Source organism: Homo sapiens, chromosome 15, assembly GCF_000001405.40.
Source record: "Homo sapiens chromosome 15, GRCh38.p14 Primary Assembly".
NCBI classification, from domain to species: domain Eukaryota; kingdom Metazoa; phylum Chordata; class Mammalia; order Primates; family Hominidae; genus Homo; species Homo sapiens.
In genome coordinates, this window is record NC_000015.10 from 83192358 (window position 1) to 83217087 (window position 24730).

Sequence of the window (24730 nt, forward strand, 5' to 3'; positions counted from 1 at the left end):
GACAGGGTTGCTAAACAAACATTTAATTATGGAAAGCAAACAGTAGGAAGAAAATACCAATATATGCCACAGTTAAGAGAGCAGACATGGTGAGTACTTTGATTAGGAAGCTAACATTAATTTTTGATGAGTCAATGTAGTTCCCAATAAAATAAGAAAAAAGGCACGATGAATGAGCTAATTGTAATATTTCCATAAGTACAGGTTAAGACTTGGTTGTGGGAACATAAATGTCCAGAAAAGACAGCATTTTTTGGATAATTTTTTCAGAAATAATCTCCTTCAGTTTATGTCTCAAGGATGAAATTCATCACAGGAAAATTTGAAAAATCCTAGGCATAAAACAAAATCTTAAGTTTTGGGTTTTTTGAGTCTTAAGATATGCCTGTTTTAAAAACAAATAAAAGTGGTAGCACAACCAATCCATCTTGACCACCCTATATGTACAACATCTGATTCAATCATTTAAATAATCAAACACAGGCATTTTCTGAACACTATCTTACTTTCTTTGTTCTCAATTCTAACCAATTGCCTCATTTAAGGACAGGCCTGGGCAAACTTCTGAGGTTTGTCTTTAGTCTTAGCTCTTTATCTTCCAGTAACTTCCTCTCCTGTTCTATTCCATGTAACGCCATGTCACCACAGGACCTTACTTCATTGCTCCTGCCTTTACCACATATGGACTTCCATAAAAACTCACTGTCATGGGACATCTCTTCCAGAGTCCCGTTCTCTGCTTATTTGAATAAATTACAATAAGCACAAAAATCAAGAGTAAAAAAAAGCAATCCGTGCAATGGGAGAAAATTATTTGCAAATCATAGATCTCCTAAGAAGCTAACAACCAGAACATATGATTAAGTCCTACAACTCAACAACAACCACCATTTTTTGCTGATTAAAAAATGGGTGAAGGACAATAGACATTATTCCAAAGAAGACATACAAATGGCCAATAAGCACACGAAAAGATGCCCAACATTACTGCTCATTAAGGAAGTGCAAGTCAAAACCATAAGATACCACCTCACACCCATTAGGATTCCTACTTTGAAAAAAAACAGAAAATAAGCATCGGCGAGGAAGTAAAGAAATTGGAACCCTTGTGCATTGTTGGTGAGAATGTAAAATGGTGCAGTCCCTATGGAAAACAGTACGGTGTTTCCTCAAAATATTACAAATACAATTACCATATTGAAGTAGAAGGCAGGGCTTAGACCCTGGACCAGATTGAAGACTAGCAGAAACAGGAAAAATATGAAAGCAACTCTCCGTAGGACACACCTACCAGTGCCATGTCAATTTACCGTTGCCAGCACAACATCTGGAAGTTATTGCCCCTTTCCATGGCAAGGACACAATGACCCAGAAGTTACAATCCTTTTTCTAGGAATTTCTGCATAATCTGTCCCTTAATTTCCATGTAATTAAAAGTGGATATAAACATGACTGCAGAACTGCCCCTGAACTGCTACTCTGGGTACACTGCCTACAGGGTAGCCTATAGTGTAGCTGCACTCTGCATGGGGCAGTACCTGTGCTGCTGCTGCTATACGCTGCCACGTTAATAAGAGTTGCTGACTCACACCACCACCACCCCACCCATGAATTCTTTCCTGGGCAAAGCCAAGAACCCTCCCAAGCTAAGCCCCAATTTGGGGGCTCACCTGTCCTGCATCAATATGAACAAGGAATTCAACTTCTGGCTACCTACTCCAAAGAACAGAATGTAGGGTCTTTAAGAGATAGTTGTACATTCATGTTCATAACAGCATCATTCACAATAACCAAAAGGTGAAAAAAACTCAGGTATCCATCAGTGGATGAATAAACAAAATGTTTTACATATACACAATGGGATGTTATTCAGTCTCAAAAAGGAAGAAAATTTGGACATACATGAGCCTCAAGGATATTATGCTAAGTGAAATAAGCCAGTCACAAAAAAACACATACCGTATAATTCCATCTGTATGAGGTACCCAGAGTAGCCCACTCATAGAGACACAAAGTGGAGAGGTGATTGCCAGGGACTAGGAGGCAGGGAATGTAGAGTTATTTTTTAATGGGTATAGTTTGTTTTGCAAGATGAAAAGAGTTCTGGAGATAGAGAGTGGTGATGGTTACAAAACAATGTACTTAATATTACATAAACTATACACTTAAAATGATTATTAAGATGGTATAAATTACATTCTATGTATTTTTACAATTAAAATTTTTTTTTAATTACAATGAGCACATAAAAAGCTTATTCCAAGTCTGGTTTTCACCTTTTCTTTACCTAAAATAAATTCAGGGTTTCTGCCTAATTGTCAAAGTGGTTAGTGTGAATTCCTTATCTCCTTTCACTTCCTCCTGGCATCCTATGGAGATGGGTGCAGACGGCAATGAATTTTAGTGCAGCTCCCTTCCACTTACTTGCTCTGTAACTGAGCAAGTCAGTTGGTAAAAGAGATTAATGCATTTTAGCTTTCTCATCCCTTCGAAAACAACACTGAAAATCATCTTAAATCTTATGTCTCAGAAGGTACTATCATTTAAATTTTCATTAAAGACTTTGAAATTGCCTGCAGGGAAGGAAAAAGCAATAGAACAAAATGTAAAGGAGGGCTCACTCAGGATGCAGTGTTATCTCTTTCTAATGGTAAGACTATATAGTTGTATTACAAATAATGTAGACAGTTCCAAAAACTACATTTCAATATCGTATGACAAAAAAAGCTGAAACCCAGTCTTTTTGTAATAAATTGCCAATTAAAAATGTCTCCATGTATTCTCTTTTCCACGCTCTTTCTTAGTCAGTTTTGGCTCATTCTTGTTCATTTAGTCTAATTGCAAAGATAGAAAAATCCTGTCATCATGTTTCAGACAAATATTGGGCAAAAAACTTGAGGATTGTATTTGTGACTAATTGTATAACAGGTTATTTTAGTTTCTGTTATGTGGAAAGTGTAAAACATTCCAACAAAGGTTTTTTAATGTAGATTTTTTTTTGCACCCATGCTGTTGATTGCTAAATGTAATAGTCTGATCATGATACTGAATAAATGTGTCTTTTTAAAAAAATAAAAGAAAAATATTGTCATCGAGATCTACATATATTGCACTTGTATTCCTCTATGTACATGTTTCTGTTCCTTAATCTATCTCAAGCTCTTTAATGTTAAAATCATGTCTTATTAATTTTTATAATGCTAAGTCTATCACAGTTACTAACCCAGAAGAGATACTCAATAAACACCTAATGAGATTATAATGGTAGAACATTAATGTTACCCAATTCACGTAGTTCTACCTTCACATGGAAATAACTGAAAATTTAAAAAGTAAAAGTTTCAATGACAGAAATTAAGAATGTTATATGCTTAAATGCTGAAAACCAGGTTCTTACAAAATTTGGCAAAGAATGAAAAAAGGGAAAAAAATCTCCTAGGAATGGTTAAAAAAATTAAGTTACATATACTTATATCTTAAAACAAAACAGAAAAGTTTTGAGTAAAATTCTGGATAAAGATGTATTAGTGAAATAAAAGCAAAAATGAAAACAGGTTACAAAACTAATATCCAACGAAGTACTATAACTTATGTGCTAGAAAGTATGAAATAGCAGATCACTATATTTTGACTCCATCCTGAAGTTACAAGTTATACACATTTATGTGCCAAATAAAGCCCTGACATTTATTAAATAAACGGTCAAAAAAAGGGACAGATATGTAGAAATATAATAGATATGTTAGATTTATATACCTCTTCATTTTGGAGAGAGTAGTTGACAAAAAATAAACATTAAGAATTTTAAAAAATATATTAGTAAATATCAATATATTTATATTTGTCCATTATATTTATTGACTTATTTATTAAGTCAATATACTTATTGACTCATTTATTAAGTCAATATACTTATTGACTCCTAAAGAAGCTTTCTTTTCAGGAATACAAAAACCATTTTTTAAAAGTTGATCACATATGAAAAGAACACTAAATGAATTAAAATAGTTAAAAAGGATACATAATCTGACTACAAGATAACCATATTAAAAAACAATAAAGCATTACATACAAACTCTTTAGCCAGTTATAATTCCTAAAATTCTCTCCTAAATATCTCTTGGGCCAACTCAGAAATGAAAATCACAAAACCTATTTTGAAAATGACTATAAAACACCAATTATTCAAATCTACATCATGAAGCCAAATATGACCTGAGGAAAACTAGCTTTAAAAGTTTTCATTTTCAAAAAGATTTCAAAAAAATTAAATAAGACTTTATTTCATTAAGTTTGAAATAGAAGAAAAGAAAAATATACTTGGGGAAAGGTAGTGAAGATGAGATCAGAAATTAATGATTTAGAGAAAAAAATAGAATTGATTAACAAAAAAGGGGGAAACAAAAATCCAAGAGGATTAGAGAAGGTTAGAGAGAGATGATTTTCATTTATAAGCAAAAGATAGGAAGGTGCAGTTAAAGCCTGTTGGCATCTATTTTCTCTATGAAGTATGAAGGTAAAACAATTTGCTGAAAATGAGGGGGAAAGGCTGGAAGAGAATAGTAAATGTATCTACTAACATCTGAGGAAGATGTACAAGGAGCTGACCTAGGGCATGCCCACTCTTGTTAAGCTGCACTACTTTTGTCATTTGCTTTTACAATATAAAAATAAGGGACACATTTGTTCTGGGTTACCTGATCCTTTGTAGTTAAATAAATCTTTATCCCAGGAGTGTACTCAAAACGAAGAATGGAGACCATGATATTTCATAACTCTACCAAAGGCTTTGTCCTTCCCCTGACATCACACATAGCATAAGATAGGGTCAGTGCTGAGCTGGAGAACAGCCAGAGTTCTTGAACACCTGGCATATCATAAAATTTAATCTAATCTTATTTCTTTTACTTCAAAATATTTCCATTTATAATAGTATAGTGGGTCTGTTTCTAATAACATTTTACATATTTTATGTGAGTCAGTGAGCCAGATGTAAGACATAAAACTGTGCTTACAGTAACTTTTCAGAAATGTTTCTTTTAAAAAATTGAAGAATGCCTTCCTATCATCAATACCAGGTTCTCTCTACTCAGATTGCTATATCTCACAGTAGCAAGGCAATCTCTTTTTGATAGGACAAAATAATTAAAAAGGAAATACAAAACCATTAGAAACATGTTAATCGCAAAAACTTTACATCCACTTTAAAGGGTACCACAAACCTGCCCTATCTTCAAGTTTCTGAACTTCACAAAAGCTCATCATCTTCAGTCATAGCTTGATACCTCCACAGTCTAGTCCCACAAACCAGGAAAACTCCACAGCCTCAATATCATCAGCCACGGAACACTAGTTTGTCAAACACTGTATATAACTCGGTAGTCAGCAAACGTGTGGAACTTACTACCTTTAAGAAGTCAATTATAGGCCGGGCACGGTGGCTCACGCCTGTAATCCCAGCACTTTGGGAGTTCGAGACCAGCCTGCCCAACATGGCAAAACCCCATCTCTACTAAACATCTAAAAAATTAGCCGGGTGTGGTGGTGTGCGCCTGTAATCCCAGCTAATTGGGAGGCTGAGGCAGGAGAACCTGGGGGCGGCGGGGAGGGGGTGATGAGGAGGGTGGTAGAGCTTGCAGTGAGCCAAGAACACACTACTGCACTCCAGCCTGGGGTGACAGAGAGAGACTCCGTCTCAAAAAAAAAAAAAAAAAAAAGAAGCCAATTAATTATATATATAGTTGTTGATACATTTGCAGTTGAAAGATTAAAAGGAAGATGAGAATTAAAATCTATATAACTAACCTTTTGGGATCAGGGGACATATTGGCCTGGATAGTTCAATGACCTAATACACTATTGCTTTAATTTATGTTCGTGTGACCTTCATGTAAGACTGTGGCTACAGCAGAATAAAAAGCTCAGGACTGTTAACAAATCATCCTCTCAAAAATCCAACTTCTGTTCTATATAAACGCATACAACTCACAGAGATTACTTTCCCTTTGGCCTACTGACCAGACCAGTGTTTTTCAAACTGTAGGTAATGAAACTCATTTAGCAGGTTGCAACCTGACTTTACATAAAATGAAATATAAAAATATCAGAATGTATCACATATAGTAAGTACAACTTGAAAATTTTTTTGTTATAGGTGCATCTTAGTCCATTTTGGGTTGCTGTAACAGAATAAATGAGGCTGGGTAATTTATAAAGAAAACAGGCTTTATTTAGCTCATGGTTCTGCAGGCTGGAAAGTATAAGCATGGTACCAGCATCTGCTCAGCTTCTGGTAAGGGCCACGTGCTAACTCAAAACATGGCAAAGAAGGTCAAAGGGAAAGTGGACACGTGAAAAGCAACCAAACAGGAGGAAGAAACTTGCTTTATAACTCACTCTTGCAAGAACTAATCTATTCTCAGAGAACTAATCTAGTCTCCAGAGAGGGAGAACTCACTACCACAGGACCAGCAACAGTACCCAAACACCTCTCGCTAGAACCCACCTCCCAACACCACCACACTGGGGATAAAATTTCAACATGAGTTTTGGAGGGGACAAACGGATCATATAAAAATCTCAGCAGTGTGTGTGTGCATGCATGTGCACGTACTGGGATGGGAATTAATATTTATTTCTCACTGTAGGTTACAGTCAAAAAACCTGAAAGCCGTTAGACTGCAATCAATCAGCAACAACAACTCATTTCCAAAGTCTAAATATTTTTTTCAAAATTATTGACTTCATCATCATGTAGTAGTCCAGGGAAGGAGATAAGAGAAGTTATAACTTGTTTTAAATTAGTTGGTTTCATTTGGAACATCAAATAGTGGTCTAGAGGGAATTTTCAATCCATTCAACATATGGTAACTCTAAAAGCATTAACTGAGAATTTATACTACTACTCCCTCTGAACAAGCATTTCCTCCAAGATCAAACATGTTATTAATAATAAAGTACTACTTCAGTGTCAAAGGAAAAGGAAATAGAGATCTGAAGTTGAGTTTATTTTCTGACCTGTCTACATCATAAAAAATCCTTAATCTTCTGTGAAACTCATTTTTATATGTGCTAACCACTACTGAAACTATCACTTAAAACCACTCTCATCTCGTATTTTGCAATAGAAACTGAGAAGTTATTACTATGTGATCAGAAATTTTCCAGTCCCCATACAGGCAACCTGGCAGCTACCACTGACTCCCCTACACTGACACCTCTACTTCTGGGTAGCTGTATAGACTCTATATTCAGACTTAGAGAATCTATTCAGAATATGAGTTTCAATGATCAAATGAGAAGAATAGTTTATTCTTAGACCCTTTTTGTATGTTAATGTGGTCCAGTTTATCTTGTCCCCAAATCCTGAAGCTCTGTGGAACTTCCAGAAATGGCCTATCACAAGCCAGGTGCAGGGGCTCACACCTGTAATCCCAGCACTTTGGGAGGCCGAGGCGGGTGGATCACGAGGTCAGGAGTTCAAGATCAGCCTGGCCTAGATAGTAAAACCCAGTCTCTACTAAAAATACAAAAAAAAAATTAGCCGGGCATGGTGGTGGGCACCTGTAATCTCAGCTACTCAGGAGACTGAGGCAGAGAATTGCTTAAACTCAGGAGGCAGAGGATGCAGTGAGCCGAGATCGCCCCACTGCACTCCAGCCTGGGCGACAAAGCGAAACTCCATCTCAAAAAAAAAAAAAAAAAGGCCAGGTGTGGTGGCTTACACCTGTAATCCCAGCACTTTGAGAGGCCGAGGCAGGCAGATCACGAGGTCAGGAGATTGAGACCATCCTGGCTAACACAGTGAAACCCCATCTCTACTAAAAAAATACAAAAAAATCAGCCCAGCGTGGTGGTGGGCACCTGTAGTCCTAGCTACTCGGGAGGCTGAGGCAGGAACCCGGGAGGCGGAGCTTGCAGTGAGCGGAGATCCCGCCACTGCACTCCAGCCTTCATGACAGAGCAAGACTCCATCTCAAAAAAAAAAAAGAAAGAAAAAAAAGAAATGGCCTATCACACTCAGAAATCAAGATGGGTAACAATGGGAAGTCCCCAAATTCCCAGAGTCTAGAGCCAACTCACTATTATAAAGCCACAAAGCAGCTGCTGAAAAACATACCTTCCAAACCACAGAAGCATTTACTGAGACTTTACTACGTTCCCTGCATTGTATAAGTAAGAAGCTTTGTGTTCTTGGGAGATAATTATTTAGTAACTTAATTGGAACTTAATTAGCAAATAGTTCTTTCATATACATTTTAACATTTGATCCTTAGGAAAAAGAAGGGAAAGAGTAAGAATTATCATCCATCCTATTTTACAAAGAGGTTCACAATAAAAAAGATGCCCAGCCTAACAAACCAAGATAGTAGTGGAATGAAGTACTTGTCTTTTAACCCCTGGTCTGATTCTCTTTCTCTTCATTGCAGGACTTCCTCAGAAATCTGGAGGATGTCATTCTGAAGGCTTGTGCTCACCAATCATTAGATTACTTTATTCTTTTTTTTTTTTTTTTTTTCACTTCTGTGTGGCTCTCTGTGACCATACAGATGGTTATTTACCAGACTAAATGTGGTAAATTCTTATCTAGGTAAAAAGAAGACAGAAAAAAATAATTTATAATCTCTATCCTCTATTTCAATGAGGGTACTTTTATGCAGGAGAAATTAATATTTGTAACATGAAGGTCAACCCATTCCCCCTTTTACATAGTTGCCAATAGTTTAAATACACCATATGAGCAAATTATTTTACGTATTAGGACCACTATTGACCTTTAAAGATCCTTCATAGTCAGTACTTCTACTCTACCTAGAGTGAATGACTAGTTTTTTTTTTTAAAGTTCTAATGAGTTGCAAACAGACATGTTTATAAAATAAAAATAAATTATGAGAAAAATAAAGACATACAAAATGTAAGCCTCAATTATTAGATTCACAAAGCTACTCCATCAAACGGCTCTAAAAATTTCTAAACTCTTATTTCAATTTCTGTACCTATTTTGTCACTGACAAGTAACATTCACAGGACATGCTTTCAGTAGCACTGCAAGTGATTAGAACACCTTTTTGTAGTGGATGAATAACTACATCAAGTGGGATGGATTCTGATCTAACATCTGAGACTTTTGAAACAGAAAGCTTTCTCCAATAAATAAATATATTCGGGCTAGTCTCCTACTATATTTATTATACTTACAAGCCTATAATACTTTTCTAATGCAAACAGGCTTTTCAATGAAGTTGTACATAATTTTAAACCATCAGTCATTTCCCAAAAGAATCAAATACAATCTCTAATAGTAGAAAACTGACTTCCGAGAATTAATATTATTTTCCAAATCATGGAGGAACAGTAGTCATTAGAGAATTCCAAAGGGGATGTGCCAGGAATAGAGACTCATCTGGTTGAAACGGGAGCATCGGAAAATGAACATATTGGTATCAAAAGTTTAAAGTTCCTATGAGCTCCCAGATTAAGTGGGAGAAAATGAGACAATTTGCCAAATCCTTGGCAAAGTGAAAGTAGTCCCTGGGAAAAAGACTGAGTGAGCTTGTGCCAGGACTGAACAACTGATGTACTTCTTAGGCCAAAGTAATGAAGATTATAAACACCTTACTTTATGTTGAGATTAAAAAGAACTTAAGTCCCAAATGATTCTCTGAAAATAATGTGGCCTGGTCTCCAGAAATAAATTTATCACCTTCTTAGTAGATCATTGTCAAATGCAAAAAACCTGAAAGTGCTATGGATCAGAAAAGGAAGATTCCCAACAAATATTTATATTAATAAAGGGTATGGAAACACTTCATAATCATGTTTTAGAATTGCTGCAAATTTAATCTATTGCTAGAGATATGAAAAAACTATACCCCTGTGCCTTACATACAGTAGGTGCTCAACAAAAGTTCAGTAAGAGCTCAGCTCTTGAAGCTATATAAATAGGAAGGTCAAATGCTTTATTCTTATGCTTTACAAAGTGAGAGGTTAAAGAAAGCTAGATCAAAAATATGATAAGCAGTGATTTAATATTAAAGGAAGAGAAAGACACTGATGCAGGTAAACAAACCAGACAGGCTGAAACCAGAACTCAAAGAAAGTCTAAAGAGAATGCTCTAAAGTAGAAAATGAAGTTTCTATAATAAGTCAAAAGGGAATAGGAAGATGCAGCTTGGTAGGAGTGAGGACTCGAAGGAAAAAAAACAACTCACTGAAAGCTAAAAATAGTGAAATTTAATCCATGTAGAAGTATTAGTTCTCCTTTCTCCCTAACTCATATAAAATGTGTTTTTTAAATTGAGGTATAACTTTCATACAGTATAGTGCACAAATCTTAAATGTACAGCTTGATACATTTTTACATATGTACACATCCATGTAACACCATCCAGATCAAGACAGGGAACATTTCCAGTGCCTTCTCCTATTCAATAACTCCTTTCTACCCACTACAAACCAGTGACCACTGTATCAGTAATTTATTCCTTTTTATTGTCAAATAGTACTCCACTATGTGAATATACTACAAATTTGTTTACTCATTCTCCTGCTGATGGACATTTGGGTTGTTTCCTGTTCTATCATGAAGAAAGTTGTTATGTATGAGCATTCTTGTACAGTATTTTGGTGAATATAAACACTCATTTCTCTTGGGTATATGCCTAGAAGAGACTGCTAGGTCACAAGGTAAGCATATGTAGATTAAGTCAGTTTTCTTAAGTAACTATCAATACACTCTACTAGCAATATTTGATAATTCTCATATAAAGTTTTTAAGTGTAAAAAAGTGCTTTAGTTAAAGCACAATAATTTTGAGGCTTTTCGTTTACATTGTTTTCTGACCTTTTAGAGTAGGGGGTAACATAAGCAGAGTGCTCACATCTCAGCGGAAGGTTTGGGTGGGGTATGGGAAGAAAACAGAATTTTGATTTCAGTTTCTTACTCTTTTAGCTAAAAAGTAAATTTTACTAGTATTTTATATGCAAGTTGACACTATTAATAGTATTCTTATTCAGATGGTTATGTTTATTCACGTTGAGTATACTGTGATTTACTGCCATTTGGTGTGTGCCCGGTTGAGCAGGATTATGGAATATCTACTTCTAACTGAACTAGCTCTCACCAAATGAACAGGTGGCTAAAAAAAAGAAAGATTCCTACACAAAAATAATATTAGTAATGTAGATGCAAGCAAACAACAAGGTAAATGTCTAAGCTGACACTTCTATTCTAGAAAATCTCTTCGGAAGTTAAGAACAATGACCATCCATCTAGTCAAATCTCACAAGAAGCAGGCAGAAAATATTCCAAAAATTAAGACTTTAAAAAATATGAACTTAACCTATAAGTAATAATAAGTATTATTACTGTTAACGATATTGTGCAATGAAAATTTTAAAACATATTGTTTTCATCATGTCATCCCTTTTAGTTTCTTTTTGTGTTTATTTTATGCTGTATATAGTAGTAACAGAAAGCACATGTATATATAAAGAAAATTTAGATATATTAGTGATGTATGCTCAAATTATTTTACCAACAGGGTACACAAACAAAAGCGATCAGAGACTCGTTTTAGCCTCAGTACTTTTTAACATTAAGCTAGCTAATCCATAACATAGATGAACTTCTAATTTTTAAAGCCACACAAAATTAGGCATACTAGATGAGAAACAGCCAGCTGCTATTTAATGTTAGAATAATACATCTGAACAATGGGGGAGAAGGAAGGAGGAGGACAGGAATCTACCAGAAAGAGGCATGAGAGTACTTTCGTAGGCACTGTTCTATACCTTGGTAGGTATTATGTCAATGTATTTATGTATTTATATTATATATATGTATCACATATACTTATATATATCAGACATATATCATATAGAGAGCTATATTTATATTATACCAATGTATACATTTGTCAAACTCACCGAATGGTACAGTTAAGGTAAGTACATTCCATTCCATGTAAATTTTACCTCAAAAGAGAAAAGGATCCATTCAAAGTATTAACCACTAGGTTAATGGCATGCATGTGTCTAGGAGTAAATTATGGCGATGTGTGCAACTTACCTTGAAATGCATTAAAATAAGAGGAACTATTATGTAGATAGAGGGAGGATATATGAACAGATGCATGAAAGAGCAAGTAGAATGAAATTTAATTGTAGAATCTAGGTGTAGATAAATGGGTCTTCACAGTTCAATTTTTTAAACTTATCTATATATTCGAAATTTTTCAGGATAAAATATTGGAAAAATAAATCTGAGTTGAAAGTTGACAATAATTTAAAATAGTGTAGTGATACAAAGGAAAGTTAGAAATTCAAAAAGGAAAAAGGTAGGAACATACAAGTACCATCACTTGGTGCTTTTAGATACTCTGTATTTGTGAGGTGAGAATTATCTTTATTTTACAGACGAGTAAACAGAAACTTAGAAAGATTACAGAACATGCACAAGGTCACAGTGTGAAGCCCAGCCAAGAGCTGAATCCAACCTGTAGGAATTCTGAATCCTCTTGACCTACATTCCTCACAAAGGGCTGCCTAGGACCAAACATCTTCCCTAGAGCAAGGAAGTTGCTTCTCCATTCCTGTATGAACCAGCTCTAATACAAAGTGCCTTCCTACAACATGTACTCTGAAATCTGTTTCTTCCTGGTTTCCCTCCTAAGTTTGAGTCCTTGGCGCCCCACAGTATCTAATGCCCACATGAATGGCCTTCGTATCAAGTGATAATATTTGAAACTTCAATAAGCAAGACTTTTTTTCCCAGTTAGCATTTTATAACATTATCATCTACACAGCTATACCTAGGTGTAAGATGGGAATAATGCCTCATAGAATTGGGATGAAAAAAATGAAAACATATGTGAAGTATACGCACTGTAAAAAAGGGGACTCAAATCTTTTTCTAACCTTTACCTTTGGAAATTGCAGCATGCCACTAACGAGAAAATAAAACTTCTTTTTTTGAGTCTTAGGTTGTTTCTTGAGGAGCTCGTTAAATGTGAATAGATACAGATTTTTCTTTCTTGTACCTATTTTATCTAAAAACTTAATTTTGTTTCCTCATTTTATTTTCCATTTTGCCTTATTTGGAATTATCACTTCCAGGAATTTTATGTACAATTAGATATACAACTAGGACCACTTCCGTAGGATTTTTCTGTTTCACAAATTACTACAGGTGGCCAACCTGTACAGGCAACATATTAATGAAATTTTAAGTCTATTTTCTTTTTGACTATCAGAAGATATTTTTCAAAGGGAAGATTTTAAAAAGCCATTATGGTACTAGGAAATGACCAACTAGTAACGGTAACCTTTAATTGGCTTTGACTGTGTTTATACACATATGGCCCTAAAGCTATACATTTCTTACTTGGCAAACAGATTCGGGGATTTTCTGAAGTCACAAATATATTCAGGGACTCCTAAAGTCACAAATCTTGCCTCTCTAAGCAATACTGTATTACAGCATAAAAAATAACCAGTTATTCTACCTTAAAAACTTTGCCTTATCTTAAGGACAATCTACAGTTCAGATGCGAAGCTATTTTCAGTCTACTGGAACCTGAATAAGACTGTTTTTTCCTCTTGATATCTGAGGTTGTTAGTGTTGGAAAGGATCCTAGAGATGATTTTATAGTTGCAGCAATGGATATGCAGACAGTTGAAATGATTAGTCCATAACAGAGCCTGAACCAGACACCAGGTCCCCCAATTCCTGGCCTAGTGTTCTTTCCATTTGACAATCATGCCAAACCAAATATTTAAAAAGTGATTATGTCCATCCATTACTTCAACTTCACTAAATTTCAGTCTGGCCACTCGTGATGTCACTTCCTTTTGTGAATGGGTGTATTTTTTTTTCTTGATCTTGCTATCTTCACTTGACTACAATACAACATTTTAGAGCTCACACTATATTTATGCCAATTTTCTCCATGACTGTTTCCGTTCCTAAAGAATACCAATATAATCTCTAGAATGCCTTGACCCTCCTTTTCACAAGATTTCTTATTTCAAGCAATCAACTGCCAACCATACAAAAATAAAAATAAAAAGGATTTCTTCTAAAACACAAAGCACACATGGCAGTGTTGTGTGTCTTCCTCAAAGAGCTTAATAAAAATTGTGAATGCTATGTATTACATGCAGACGCTTTCTAGAAAAAGAGCCCAACGACAACCTTGTTATGTAGGAAGAGAGAGCTATTGTGGACTGTAGCAGGAGGCCAAGAATAAGGTTTGAGATTCTACCTAAAACAAATATGGAGGTGGAAAGGCACAAGAAGCTTGCTGGACCCACCAGTCAGAGGTAGGCTGCAAGCTCTCGGCTATCAGAGGTCGGTTTAAAAGAACGATGGGCACCAGAGAGGCACGTACCCCAGGACAATGATAGGGCAGGCGGGGCACCGGGAATCGCGCTCAGGGAAAACTCAACAAGTCTAGAAGGCAAAGAGATGGATGAATGACTGCCAAGAGGCTCCCGCTGGCCTCTGGATGACCACTACCACTTTCCAGGATTTACTGCCCGCCGGCACTCGCCGGCTCGCGGACAGCCGCTCACCCCGCTGCCGTACCTGCCCCGACGTTCGCCCGGGACCCAGGGTATCCACCAATGACCCTGCCCGGAGCCGAAGCCTCCGTCGCAGGCCCGCTGCCCGGCGGCGTGGCTTCCCGGTCGGCACCGGCTTTCCAGGAGGAAGGCAGCGTCGGGCCTGCGGGGGCCGGACCCGCCTTCGAAAGTGGGCGGAAGGATGGCCGCCCTGGCGGAGTGCGGGCGAGGCCGGGAGCCCTTGCCTCAGCCCCGGCCCGGTCTTCTTCGTGCCGCGCCGCCCTCAGCCCTCACCACAGCCGGCCGCGAGCTGCGGGCTCGGGGCTGAGGCGATGGGGAAAGGGGGCGGGCGCGCCATCATGAAGGGGAAAATGGTGGGCGGGCGGGCCCGCGCGCGGCCGCGGTACTCACCCGGGCCGGCCAGTGCGGGTAGCCCTTCATCTTGGCGAAGACCAGGTCGCCCGCTTTGTACTCGCGGGGCCGCGGACGCGCCATCCCAGCCGCTCCCCTTCCTGGTAGTCCTTGGTCGCCGCGAAGATGCCGGGAGGCCGCCCCCCCGCGGGCCGACGAATTGCGCCGCGCTCCCCGCGGGCCTCAAGCCGGGCGGACGAGCGGCCGCTCCGACGAGGGGAAGCGGCGAGGCGGCGGCTGAGGCAAGGGGTGGGCGGGGGGCGCAGCAGGCCCGGCAAATCACGGCCCGGCAGCGGGGGAGGGGAGCCCCCGGCCGTTCGGCGCTCGCCCGCGTCCGGCCGCGCCAAGGTCCCCGCCGCCGCCGCCGCCGCCGCCGCGCGCGCTGCTCACCAGCGCCGCGTCGCCTGCCTCATGCCGCCGCTGCCGGTCTCCCTCCCGGGCTCCCGGGCGCGGCGCGAGCGCCGGGCCTCGCGTCTGCTCCGAATTCCTTCTCGGGCAGCGACCGCAAACACGATCTTATTATTGTTCTCGCGCGCGCTCAGCATCCCCCCCCCGCCCCGCTTCCCGCTTCCCGCTCCCCTCCCCTTCCCTCCCGCGCGGGCCGGTTAATTCCTAGGTACACGGCCGGCTTTCGCGGAGAAACCGAGCGCGCCAGCCCGGCTTCTCGGCTGGCGGGCGGGCGGTGGGCGCGTCCTCCCCCAGCACCGAAGCCCGCGCCGGGCGGGCGGGAGTGCCTACTCCGGAGGACGCCCGCCGCCTGCTCTCTTTTGTTCTTGGCCCGGAGCTGCCTGCCGCAGCCCAGCCAATCACCACCCGGCCGCCCCCTTCCCCTCCCGTCCGTGCCACTCTGGGGGTTCTCCCCACTCGCGCCCCCCGCTCCCACGCCCACCTCCCGCTGACTCGACCCTCTCCTGGCTACCCCCAGCCAGCCACTTCCGCGGCTGCTCTCTGGTGAGTGGGGGACAAAGGCGCTCCAGGCCTGGGGGACGGCGGCGCGAGGGGACCCTCTGCTGGGCACCAAGCTGCCGGAAAGAGCACCGCTCCGGAGTCAGCGACCTTATTGGATTCTTGCCCCAGGTCTGCCCTTAACAATGCAGTGTGACCCACCTAGGGCGAGCTATTTAATCGGAGTCATGGGAGGTTTTCTCATTTGCTGAGTGGCACAGACGGGATTCGAACCTGTATCCACATGAGTCCAAAGTCCATAAGCGATTATGTTTCTCTCTGTGTGCGTTTTCTAGGCCTGCAGTGTTTGTGAAAAGGACTTGCACTGGCCGGTCACTTGTTTCCAATCCTGGCAACCTTTTGGACAACGTTTTTGAAATTAGCATCCCTTTCTGGAGATGTATGTACATATACAGTTCATTAGCTCTAGAACATGTTCATTTACCACTATTTTACTCTAAATTCCCTAGCTGGCTGCTTTCAAAGACATTTTGAGAGTAGGAATCTTCCTAACACTCTCTTTTGTGAGGAGTAAGTAGAATAATTCAAGGAATCGTTTGGAGTCTGTCCAATGAACGAATGCTGCTTCTTTAATCATGCTGTAACCCACCTCCTTTAAGGGGTCAGCTGGCATAGCTCCTAAATGCTGCTTTCTGTGGCCCTCACCTTGTCACACGGACAGTTCTCATTTGTGTCTGTTCTCTCTCCCTTTTACAGAAGCTACAGTTTTCCCCACCATCCGCCCCCCTCTCTGGCCTTGTAGAATGGTGTGTGTGTGTTTTAACTCCTGCTCTTGTTCTGTGGTGCTGGGCTTCCTATGATGGGGCTTTAAAGTCTCTAGATTTCCTGTGGATTGTTTACTTTGTTAGCAGTGCTTTTACATTACTTTACTAATGCATTTCCTTACTACTTGCATCTCATGATTTTTCTTTTTTTTTTTTTTTTTTGGTATTGACCTGTACTCACCTGTCCTACAGGTTCGTTTTTTTCCTCTTTTCTCACTGTGGAAGATGAGTCTAGGTCCTCTTTGCCTCAGTTGTGATGATCTGCTAACATCTCTCTCTCCTAGAACCTACCGTATGCAGCTGCCATGATGTCACGCATTGCTCATGAAGCTGTAGAATGATTTCTGTATCCTCATATGTCAAACTCACATCCCTCTGACTAGCTGTCAAAGCCCTAGCTGTTGCCTGCTTGCCCCTACAGTCCAGCCTCCCTGTGGGCACGGGGTGGATATAGGGAAGAGGAGAGAAATGAGAGGGGAAAGGTTGTCAGTTGGAAGCCAACCAGGGGAGGGCAGTAAACAATGGAGGGATGCGATCACAGTTCAGGTTTAGACATTACTTTGGTGGCCAGCATGGGACTAGACTTGAGGGTGAGAGGCTTGGGGCAGGACCTGCATTGATATTCTCTCCCCAGGAGAGATAAGACAAGGGCTGAGACAGAGCTTGCCGATTCTTTGGGTGGTAGGTGGGTAGGAAGGAGGAAGAGTAGAAACTGATTCCCTGGTTTCTGGTTGGAGCAACAGGATGATTAGTTTTGACACTCACCAAGGTGCAGAAATCCATGAAGAATGGGCAGGTTTAGAGATGAGATCTTGAGTGGTTTGGGATGTGTTGAGATTTCCATGGGCCATCCAGAGAGCTAGTTAGTGGGCAGCTAAATACACAGCTTAGAGAAAGTGGTCAAGACAGAATGTAGACTTTTGAGTGATATCAGTATATAAGTGGTCACTGAAACCATAACGGAGGATGCCCAGGAAACTGTAGAATGAGAAAAGCAGTGCCCAAGTTTGGAGCCAGGTAACACCAACATCTAAGGGTCAGGTAGAAGAAGAACGTAGTGTCATAGGAGCCAAGGAGTAAAAGATTTTCCAGAAGGAAGGAAATGTCTGGGTAGATGCCACAAGGAGGTCAAGTGAGATATGGAAGGAGATAAGTCTGTTAAACCTGGTGATTGAGAAGTCACTGATGAAACAGTTGGGAACTGTTTCACTGAATGGTATTGGGAAGACACCAGAGTGGTGGATTGAGATGTGAGTAAGAGGTGAAAATGTGGAGGCAGTATAGACAACTCATTGCTCATTGCCAGCAGTGGAGAAGGAGTAGCAAGAAAGGATGAAGGAGCCAGGCATGGTGGAGTGCGCTTGTAGGATTTCTTGAGCCTGGGAGTTCGAAGCTGCTGTGAGCTGTGATCACACCACTGCACTCCAGCCTGGACAACAGAGACCTCATCTCTTAAAAAAACATGAAGGGAGAGTTATTCTGTTGTGATTTCTGGCTGGTTTTTAAAGCTAGGAGAAATTTTAGTTTGTAATGAGGAGAAGTAGCCAGTAGAGTGCATAACTGATGGAGTTTGGTAATTTTGAGAAGGTGGAAATTTCTCCCAATCTAGGCTTTGGTTTCAGGTTTGCTCAGCACACATCATTTGCCTGACTCTCAATCTTTCATCTAACCAAGTCAGACTTAATAATACACCCACATGGGCTCCCTCTGGCTGGTCATCAGGAATCGCCTAATGCTCTTGGCTAAGAGCCCATCTGTCTCTGCAGCCAGGATGGATGCACACCACCTTGTCAACACATTGTGACGGGGGATGAAGCATTGCCCTGTGGCTTTCACTGCAGACAGAGCTTTCAGACTGGTTCTTCCACTTTATGCAAAGGACTAAGCTGTGGCTATTCCAGAACAACGCTCTACTCAAATATTTAACAGATAATATGTAACTTTTTAGAGATATAATTAGGACCATTAAAAGAGTCTGATGTATTTTATTTTAGTCAGTGTGGCCCCAGGAGCTGGTCTATTTGCTATATCAAAATAGCATACATTAATTTTACTTCTGAAACATAGAAGGAAATCCATTCACAAATGGTGATAATACCAACTTTCTTTGATCACTTTTTATTTCAGCATCCTCAAATCCCTGCGGGCTAGTACTTCTCCTTGCCTTTGGCTTCTTGATGTATTTTTGCCATCCTCTTCTCAATCATACACATATATGTATATTGTTGACATGATCCTGTTGTCACTTTCTCCTTTCATATCTTCACTTAGCTTTCTAGTAAAACTCTAACAGTTCCTTCAAATCTTGCCCCCAAATTCACCCATTCCATAATGCTTCAATTGCCTAAAATCTATTCCTTTGTCCAAGTTATATATGAGGTGATACATATAAGATACTTAGAACAGTGCCTGGCACATAGTAAATTCTCATTAAATGTTAGTCGATATTGTTATCTTTGTTGTTTACATGGTGTGGTGAAAAGAACTGTGGAAAGGGATTCAGGAAAATTTGGTGTTACACACACACACACACACTCAGCATGTTAGAAGAGAGCTCCCTGGGCCTTGCATCAGAGTCCATTTCCATTACTTTTGCCACTAGAGGTATCTCTTAAATGTCTTTCACCCCAATCCCAGGGGACTGGTCTCACACTCCTTGAAAGAGAAAGGTCTGTAAGATATTGACACCCTCTTGAGAGTCAAATAAAAGAACTGTAACATACTACTTGTAGTGAGAGAGACAACTCCCATGTTGGTGTGAGCATCAGAGGCAGTTCTAAGTTGGTAAAAGGCACCATAGAGTCAACATGGGCCATGAGGGGAGAGGTCCAGGGTTAAATGTTGGGGTCAACCAGAATTGCCTGAGTAGGGATGGGTAACAGCAGCAACTGCACTTAGGTCACCAAGTAGAGATACAGATAGCACCTCAATCATAACCCCAGAAATGTTAATTGTCTTGGAAGGCACTGCTTGAGCTACCTGGGACCTTATTTGGGGATGGAAATAGGGATTGCTTTAGGTCCTAGGAATTCTCATGAGACTGTGCGCCTAAGGACTATTTCAGTTTAGGTTGTTTTCATTCTTACCCCTTCACTGTTGTGTTGCAGGCTGAGGAGCAAACTGGGTAATTTTACTGAATTACTAGATAATTGGAGAGAGGGGGTTCAAGATGTAGAAGATATTAAAGGCTTGAAGAGTTTTGCAAGTTTTCCTACCATTTATGCTAGTATTGTTTCAATAGTAGTGTATATGCTGCTGAAGGGAGCATTAGATTACAATTATATTATTAGTTAGCATTCATTCATTTATTGAATAAGTATTTGTTGAGTATGGTTATGTATCATCATTGTTCTAGATCTAGGACCCATGGGGAATAATGAAGGAATCAAAACTATGCCAAATGAAGTAGTGTTACAGGAGGCTAGGGTATCTATAGCTAACCGTCTGAAGGGCTACCATGTAGAGTGAACAATGTGGGAGACATGATACTTTGATAGTTTGAGGCTTAGACATGAAGAGGCCTAGGAGCTTTAATTTCACCCTCTTGAAGTGCTGACCTACCGTGTAAAGAATCATAAATACCTTGCTAGTATGGAAGAGGAGTGGGGCACATGGAGAGAGATAGGTCTTGGAGAATGAAAAATGAAAGAGAGGAGAGAGAGGCCCAGCCGGTCCCCAACTCTTCCAGTCTCTCTTGTTGACTGGAAGCCAGACATGTGAGCAAAACCATGTTGGATCCTCCAACCTCAGTTAAGCTATCCTAGCCAACACCATGTGGCAGAGACAAACTATCATCATTGAGCCTCACCCAAATCACAGACCATGAGCAAGTAAATAATGGCAGCTGTTTTAAGCCACAAAATTTGGGGCTGTTTTGTTATGTAGAAACAAATAACAGAAGCAGGGTTTAATAGCAGATTAGATACAGCTGAAGTGAGCTACTGATCTGGAAGATGGATCAAAAGGAAAGATATTCAGACAGAAGCTCAGAGGAAAAAAAAAGGGAGGAAAAAACAGAAAAGAACATAGTATACTCACACCAACTTTCTATTAGCTAGTATTTGTAAGTTAGTATTCTTTTTCTCTGAGATATGGTGAAAAATCTAATATGAAGTCCCAAATGATGATGAGAGGGAGAGAATGGAATAGAAGCAGTATTTGAAGCAGTGATGGTCATGAATTTGCCAAAACTGATTAACAATACAGCTATGGATTGAATATTTGTGTCCTCCCACCCCCGATTCATTTGTTGAAACTCTAATCGCCAGTGTGATGGTATTTGGAGGTGGGGCCTTTGGGAGGTAATTATGTCATGAAAATAGAGTTCTCATGATGAGGTTAGTGCCTTTATAAGAAGAGATACAAAAGAAGTTGCTTCTTTTTTCTTTTTTTGAGATGGAGTTTTGCTCTTTTTGCCCAGGCTGGAGAGCAATGGCATGATCTTGGCTCACTGCCACCTCCGCCTCCTGGGTTCAAGTGATTCTCCTGCCTCAGCCTCCCGAATAGCTGGGATTACAGATGTGCACCACCACACCCAGCTAATTTTGTATTTTTAGTAGAGACAAGGTTTCACCTTATTGGCCAGGCTGGCCTTGAACTCCTGACCTCAGGTGATCTGCCCAACCTCAGCCTCCCTAAGTGCTGGGATTACAGGCATAAGTCACTGTGTCAGGCCAAGAGCTTGCTTCTTTTCTCTGCCTTTACCCTATGAGGATACAGTGAGAAGATGGTGATTTGCAAACCAGGAACTGTGCCCTCACCAGACACCAGCTCTGCTGGTGCATTGATCTTGGATTTCCCAGCTTCCAGAACTGTTAGAAATAAATGCCTGTTTAAACCACTCAGTCTACAGTATTTTTGCTATAGCAGCCCAAATTAAATGAGACAGATATCAAGCCATAGATTAAACAGTATTTTGAACATCAATCATGACATATTTTTTAAAACCACTCCTAAGAACATAATAGTAGTCTGGTTGTGGTGGCTCATGCTTATAATCTCAGCATTTTGGGAGGCCAAGGCAGGAAGATCACTTGAGCCCAGGAGTCTGAGACCAGCCTAGGCAGTATAATGAGCCCCTGTCTCTAACAAAAAAAAACACAAAATCCAGCAGTGGTGGCATGCACCTGTAGTCCCAGCTAATTGGGAGGCTAAGGTAGGAGGATCACGTTAGCTTGGGAGGTTGAGGCAGCAGTGAGCTGTGATTGTGCTACTGCACTTCAGCTTAGGTGACAGAGTGAGACCCTGTCTCAAACAAAACAAAACAAAACAAAACAAAACAAAAACCCAGCAACCATAATAGTAAAATTGTTGAAACCCATAGACAATGAGAATATATAAAAAGAAGACAAAGGCAAAAACACATTATCTTCAAAGGTGCAGCACAAAGAATGATAGCTGATTAATCAGCAGAAAGAAAATAACTAGCAACCTAAAATTCTAAAGCAAACTTCTTTCAAATAAAAGAGAAAGACAATTTTTAGACAAATATAAACCTAGAGAATTTATCAGCAGCAGACTTGCGCTAAATGAAAAACTAAAGGGAGCTAGTCAGGTGGAAAGAAAATGATCCCAGACAAACAGCAAGATGCAGGACAAAATGAAGAACGATAGAATAAATATTTGAGAAAATCTAAAGAAAAATAAAATGAACTATAAAATTACATAATGATCACTTACTTGGGTTATATATATGGGGAATTACAAATTTACAAATAGGGTGTTTTTGTTGTTGTTGTTGTTGTTTGAGACAGTCTCACTGTGTCACCCAGGCTGGAGTGCAGTGGCGCCATCTTGGCTCACTGCAACCTCTGCCTCCTGGGTTCAAGCAATTCTCCTGCCTCAGCCTCCCGAGTAGCTGAGATTACAGGCACATGCCACCATGCCCAGCTAATTTTTGTATTTTTAGTAGAGATGGGATTTCGCCACGTTGGCCAGGGCGGTCTCGAACTCCTGACCTCAGGTGATTGGCCCACCTCCACCTCCCAAAGTGCTGGGATTACAGGCTGTCCCCACTCAAGTAGTGAGATTGAGGTAAGTGAAATAAAAAGGTCTAAGGTCCCAGAATAATACAGAAAGTGACAAAAATATGAACATACTACATTTTAGTTTTTATTATTATTTTCAACTTTTGTTTTAGGTTCAGAGTTTATATGTGCATGTTTGTTACATGAGTAAATTGTGTGTTGCTAAAGTTTGGTATATGAATGATCTCGTCACCCAAGTAGTGACTATAGTACATGGTAGGTAGTTTTCACCCCTTCCTTCCCCCTTCTCTTTTGGAGTCCCAGTGTCTATTGTTTCCATCTTTGTGTCCACATGTACTCAATGTTTAGCTCCCTCTTTTAAGTGAGAACATGCAGTATTTGGTTTTCTGTTTCTGTGTTAATTTGCATAGGATAATGGTCCCCAGCGGCATTCATGTTGCTGGAAGGACATGATTTTGTTCTTTTTTATGGCTGCATAGTATTCCATGGTATATAGGTACCACATTTTCTTTATCCAGTCCACCGCTGCTGGGCATCTGAATTGATTCTCTGTCTTTATTATTGTGAACAGTGGTGCAATGAACATACCAGTGCATGTGTCTTTCTGGTAGAACAAATTATTTTTCTTTGGGTATATACCCAGTAAGGGGATTGCTGGGTTGAGTTGTAGTTCTAATTTACTTGAGAAATCCCCAAACTGAACTAATTTACATTCCTCCCAACAGTGTATAAGCATTCCCTTTTCTCTTCAACATTGCCAACATCTATTGTTTTTTTGACCATTTAGTAATAGCCATTTTGATTGGTGTGAGATGGTATCTCACTGTGGTTTTGATTTGCATTTCTCTAATGATTAGTGATATTGAACATTTTAAAATATATTTGTTGGCCACATGTATGTCTTCTTTTGAGAAGTGTCTGTTCATGTCCTTGGCACATTTTTAAATGGGGATGTTGTTTTTTTCTTGTTAAGTTCCTTATAGATTCTGATATTAGACCTCTGTCAGATGCATAGTTTGTGAGTATTTTCTCCATTCTGTAGGTTGTCCGCTTACTCTGTTGATAGTTTCTTTTGCTGTGCAGAAGCTCTTTAGTTTAATTAGGTCTCATTTGTCAATTTTTATTTTTATTGCATTTATTTTTGAGGACTTAGTCATAAATTATTTGCCTAGGCCGATGTCTAGAATGGTACTTCCCAGGTTTTCTTCTAGGATTTTTATAGTTTTAGGTCTTACATTTAGGTTCCTAGATTTTCTCCTAGGATTTTTATAAGTTTTAGATCCTTTTGCCATAGACAAAACTAACTCTTGGGTTTTGTATATGGCAAAAGGATCTAAAACTTATAAAAGTTATATGGCAAAACAAACGGGTTGTTTCAGTCTTCTGCATGTGGTTAGCCAGTTATTCAAGCACCATTTATTGAATAGAGTGTCCTTTCCCCATTGCTTGTTATTGTTATTGTTGACTTTGTCAAAGATCAGATGGTTGTATTAATAGGTGTGCAGCTTTATTTATGGATTCTCTATCCTATTCCATTCGTGTATGCGTCTGTTTTTGTGCCAGTACCATGATGTTTTGTTTACTGAATATTACGTTTTAATAAGTTAAAGATATATGTCGTGTTCTCTAAGATAACCAGTGGAAGAATAATAAAAGAATGCTCAACTAATGGAGTGATAACAAAATAAGAAAAAAACACATAATCCAAAGTGGCATGAAAGGGGAGAAGAAAGAACATGGAATAATTAATTAAATATGAAATAAATGGTCACATGATAGGGTTAAACCCAAATAAATCAGTGGCTACATTATAGGTAAATGGAAGATATAATCCAATTACAATTAAAAGATTGTCAGGCTGATTAAAAAGACAATTAACTTTATACTGTTTACAAGAGATATATCTTGAGTAACAATTTTGAAAGGTTGAAAGTAAAATGATGGAAAAATAAAAACTTTGGAAATACCGATAGAAAGTGGCTCTGCTAAATCAGATAAAGTAGACTTTATGGTATAAAGCATTACTACAAATCAGTGGTT

General features: G+C 39.8%; 1 protein-coding gene across 3 annotated transcripts in view, besides 5 other annotated features; it reads right to left on the reverse strand.

The window, feature by feature from the left end:
* The window catches only part of HDGFL3 (HDGF like 3), a 95086-nt gene extending 79620 nt beyond the window's left edge, over positions 1 to 15466 (reverse strand). For all 3 annotated transcript variants that reach the window (XR_001751298.3, XM_006720554.5, NM_016073.4), the window contains exon 1: positions 14974 to 15466. Coding sequence is in view for 2 of the 3 variants with exons in the window: in XM_006720554.5 (XP_006720617.1) it covers positions 14974 to 15057 (84 nt within the window). In the remaining variant the exon portion in view is untranslated. The remainder of the gene's footprint in view (positions 1 to 14973) is intronic.
* Positions 7923 to 8082: an enhancer, noted in NCBI's record as "active region_9971". NCBI's record gives its function as "activates an Ori minimal core promoter by ATAC-STARR-seq in GM12878 lymphoblastoid cells {active_cell/tissue: GM12878}" and the evidence as "EXISTENCE:reporter gene assay evidence [ECO:0000049][PMID:35858748]".
* Positions 14724 to 15173: a silencer, noted in NCBI's record as "silent region_6762". NCBI's record gives its function as "represses an Ori minimal core promoter by ATAC-STARR-seq in GM12878 lymphoblastoid cells {active_cell/tissue: GM12878}" and the evidence as "EXISTENCE:reporter gene assay evidence [ECO:0000049][PMID:35858748]".
* Positions 15564 to 15903: a silencer, noted in NCBI's record as "silent region_6763". NCBI's record gives its function as "represses an Ori minimal core promoter by ATAC-STARR-seq in GM12878 lymphoblastoid cells {active_cell/tissue: GM12878}" and the evidence as "EXISTENCE:reporter gene assay evidence [ECO:0000049][PMID:35858748]".
* Positions 15564 to 16377: a biological region, named in NCBI's record as "H3K27ac hESC enhancer GRCh37_chr15:83876873-83877486".
* Positions 15764 to 16377: an enhancer, noted in NCBI's record as "H3K27ac hESC enhancer chr15:83876873-83877486 (GRCh37/hg19 assembly coordinates)". NCBI's record gives its function as "activates a minimal SCP1, AML or CMV promoter by ChIP-STARR-seq in primed H9 embryonic stem cells {active_cell/tissue: H9 hESC(primed)}" and the evidence as "EXISTENCE:reporter gene assay evidence [ECO:0000049][PMID:30033119]".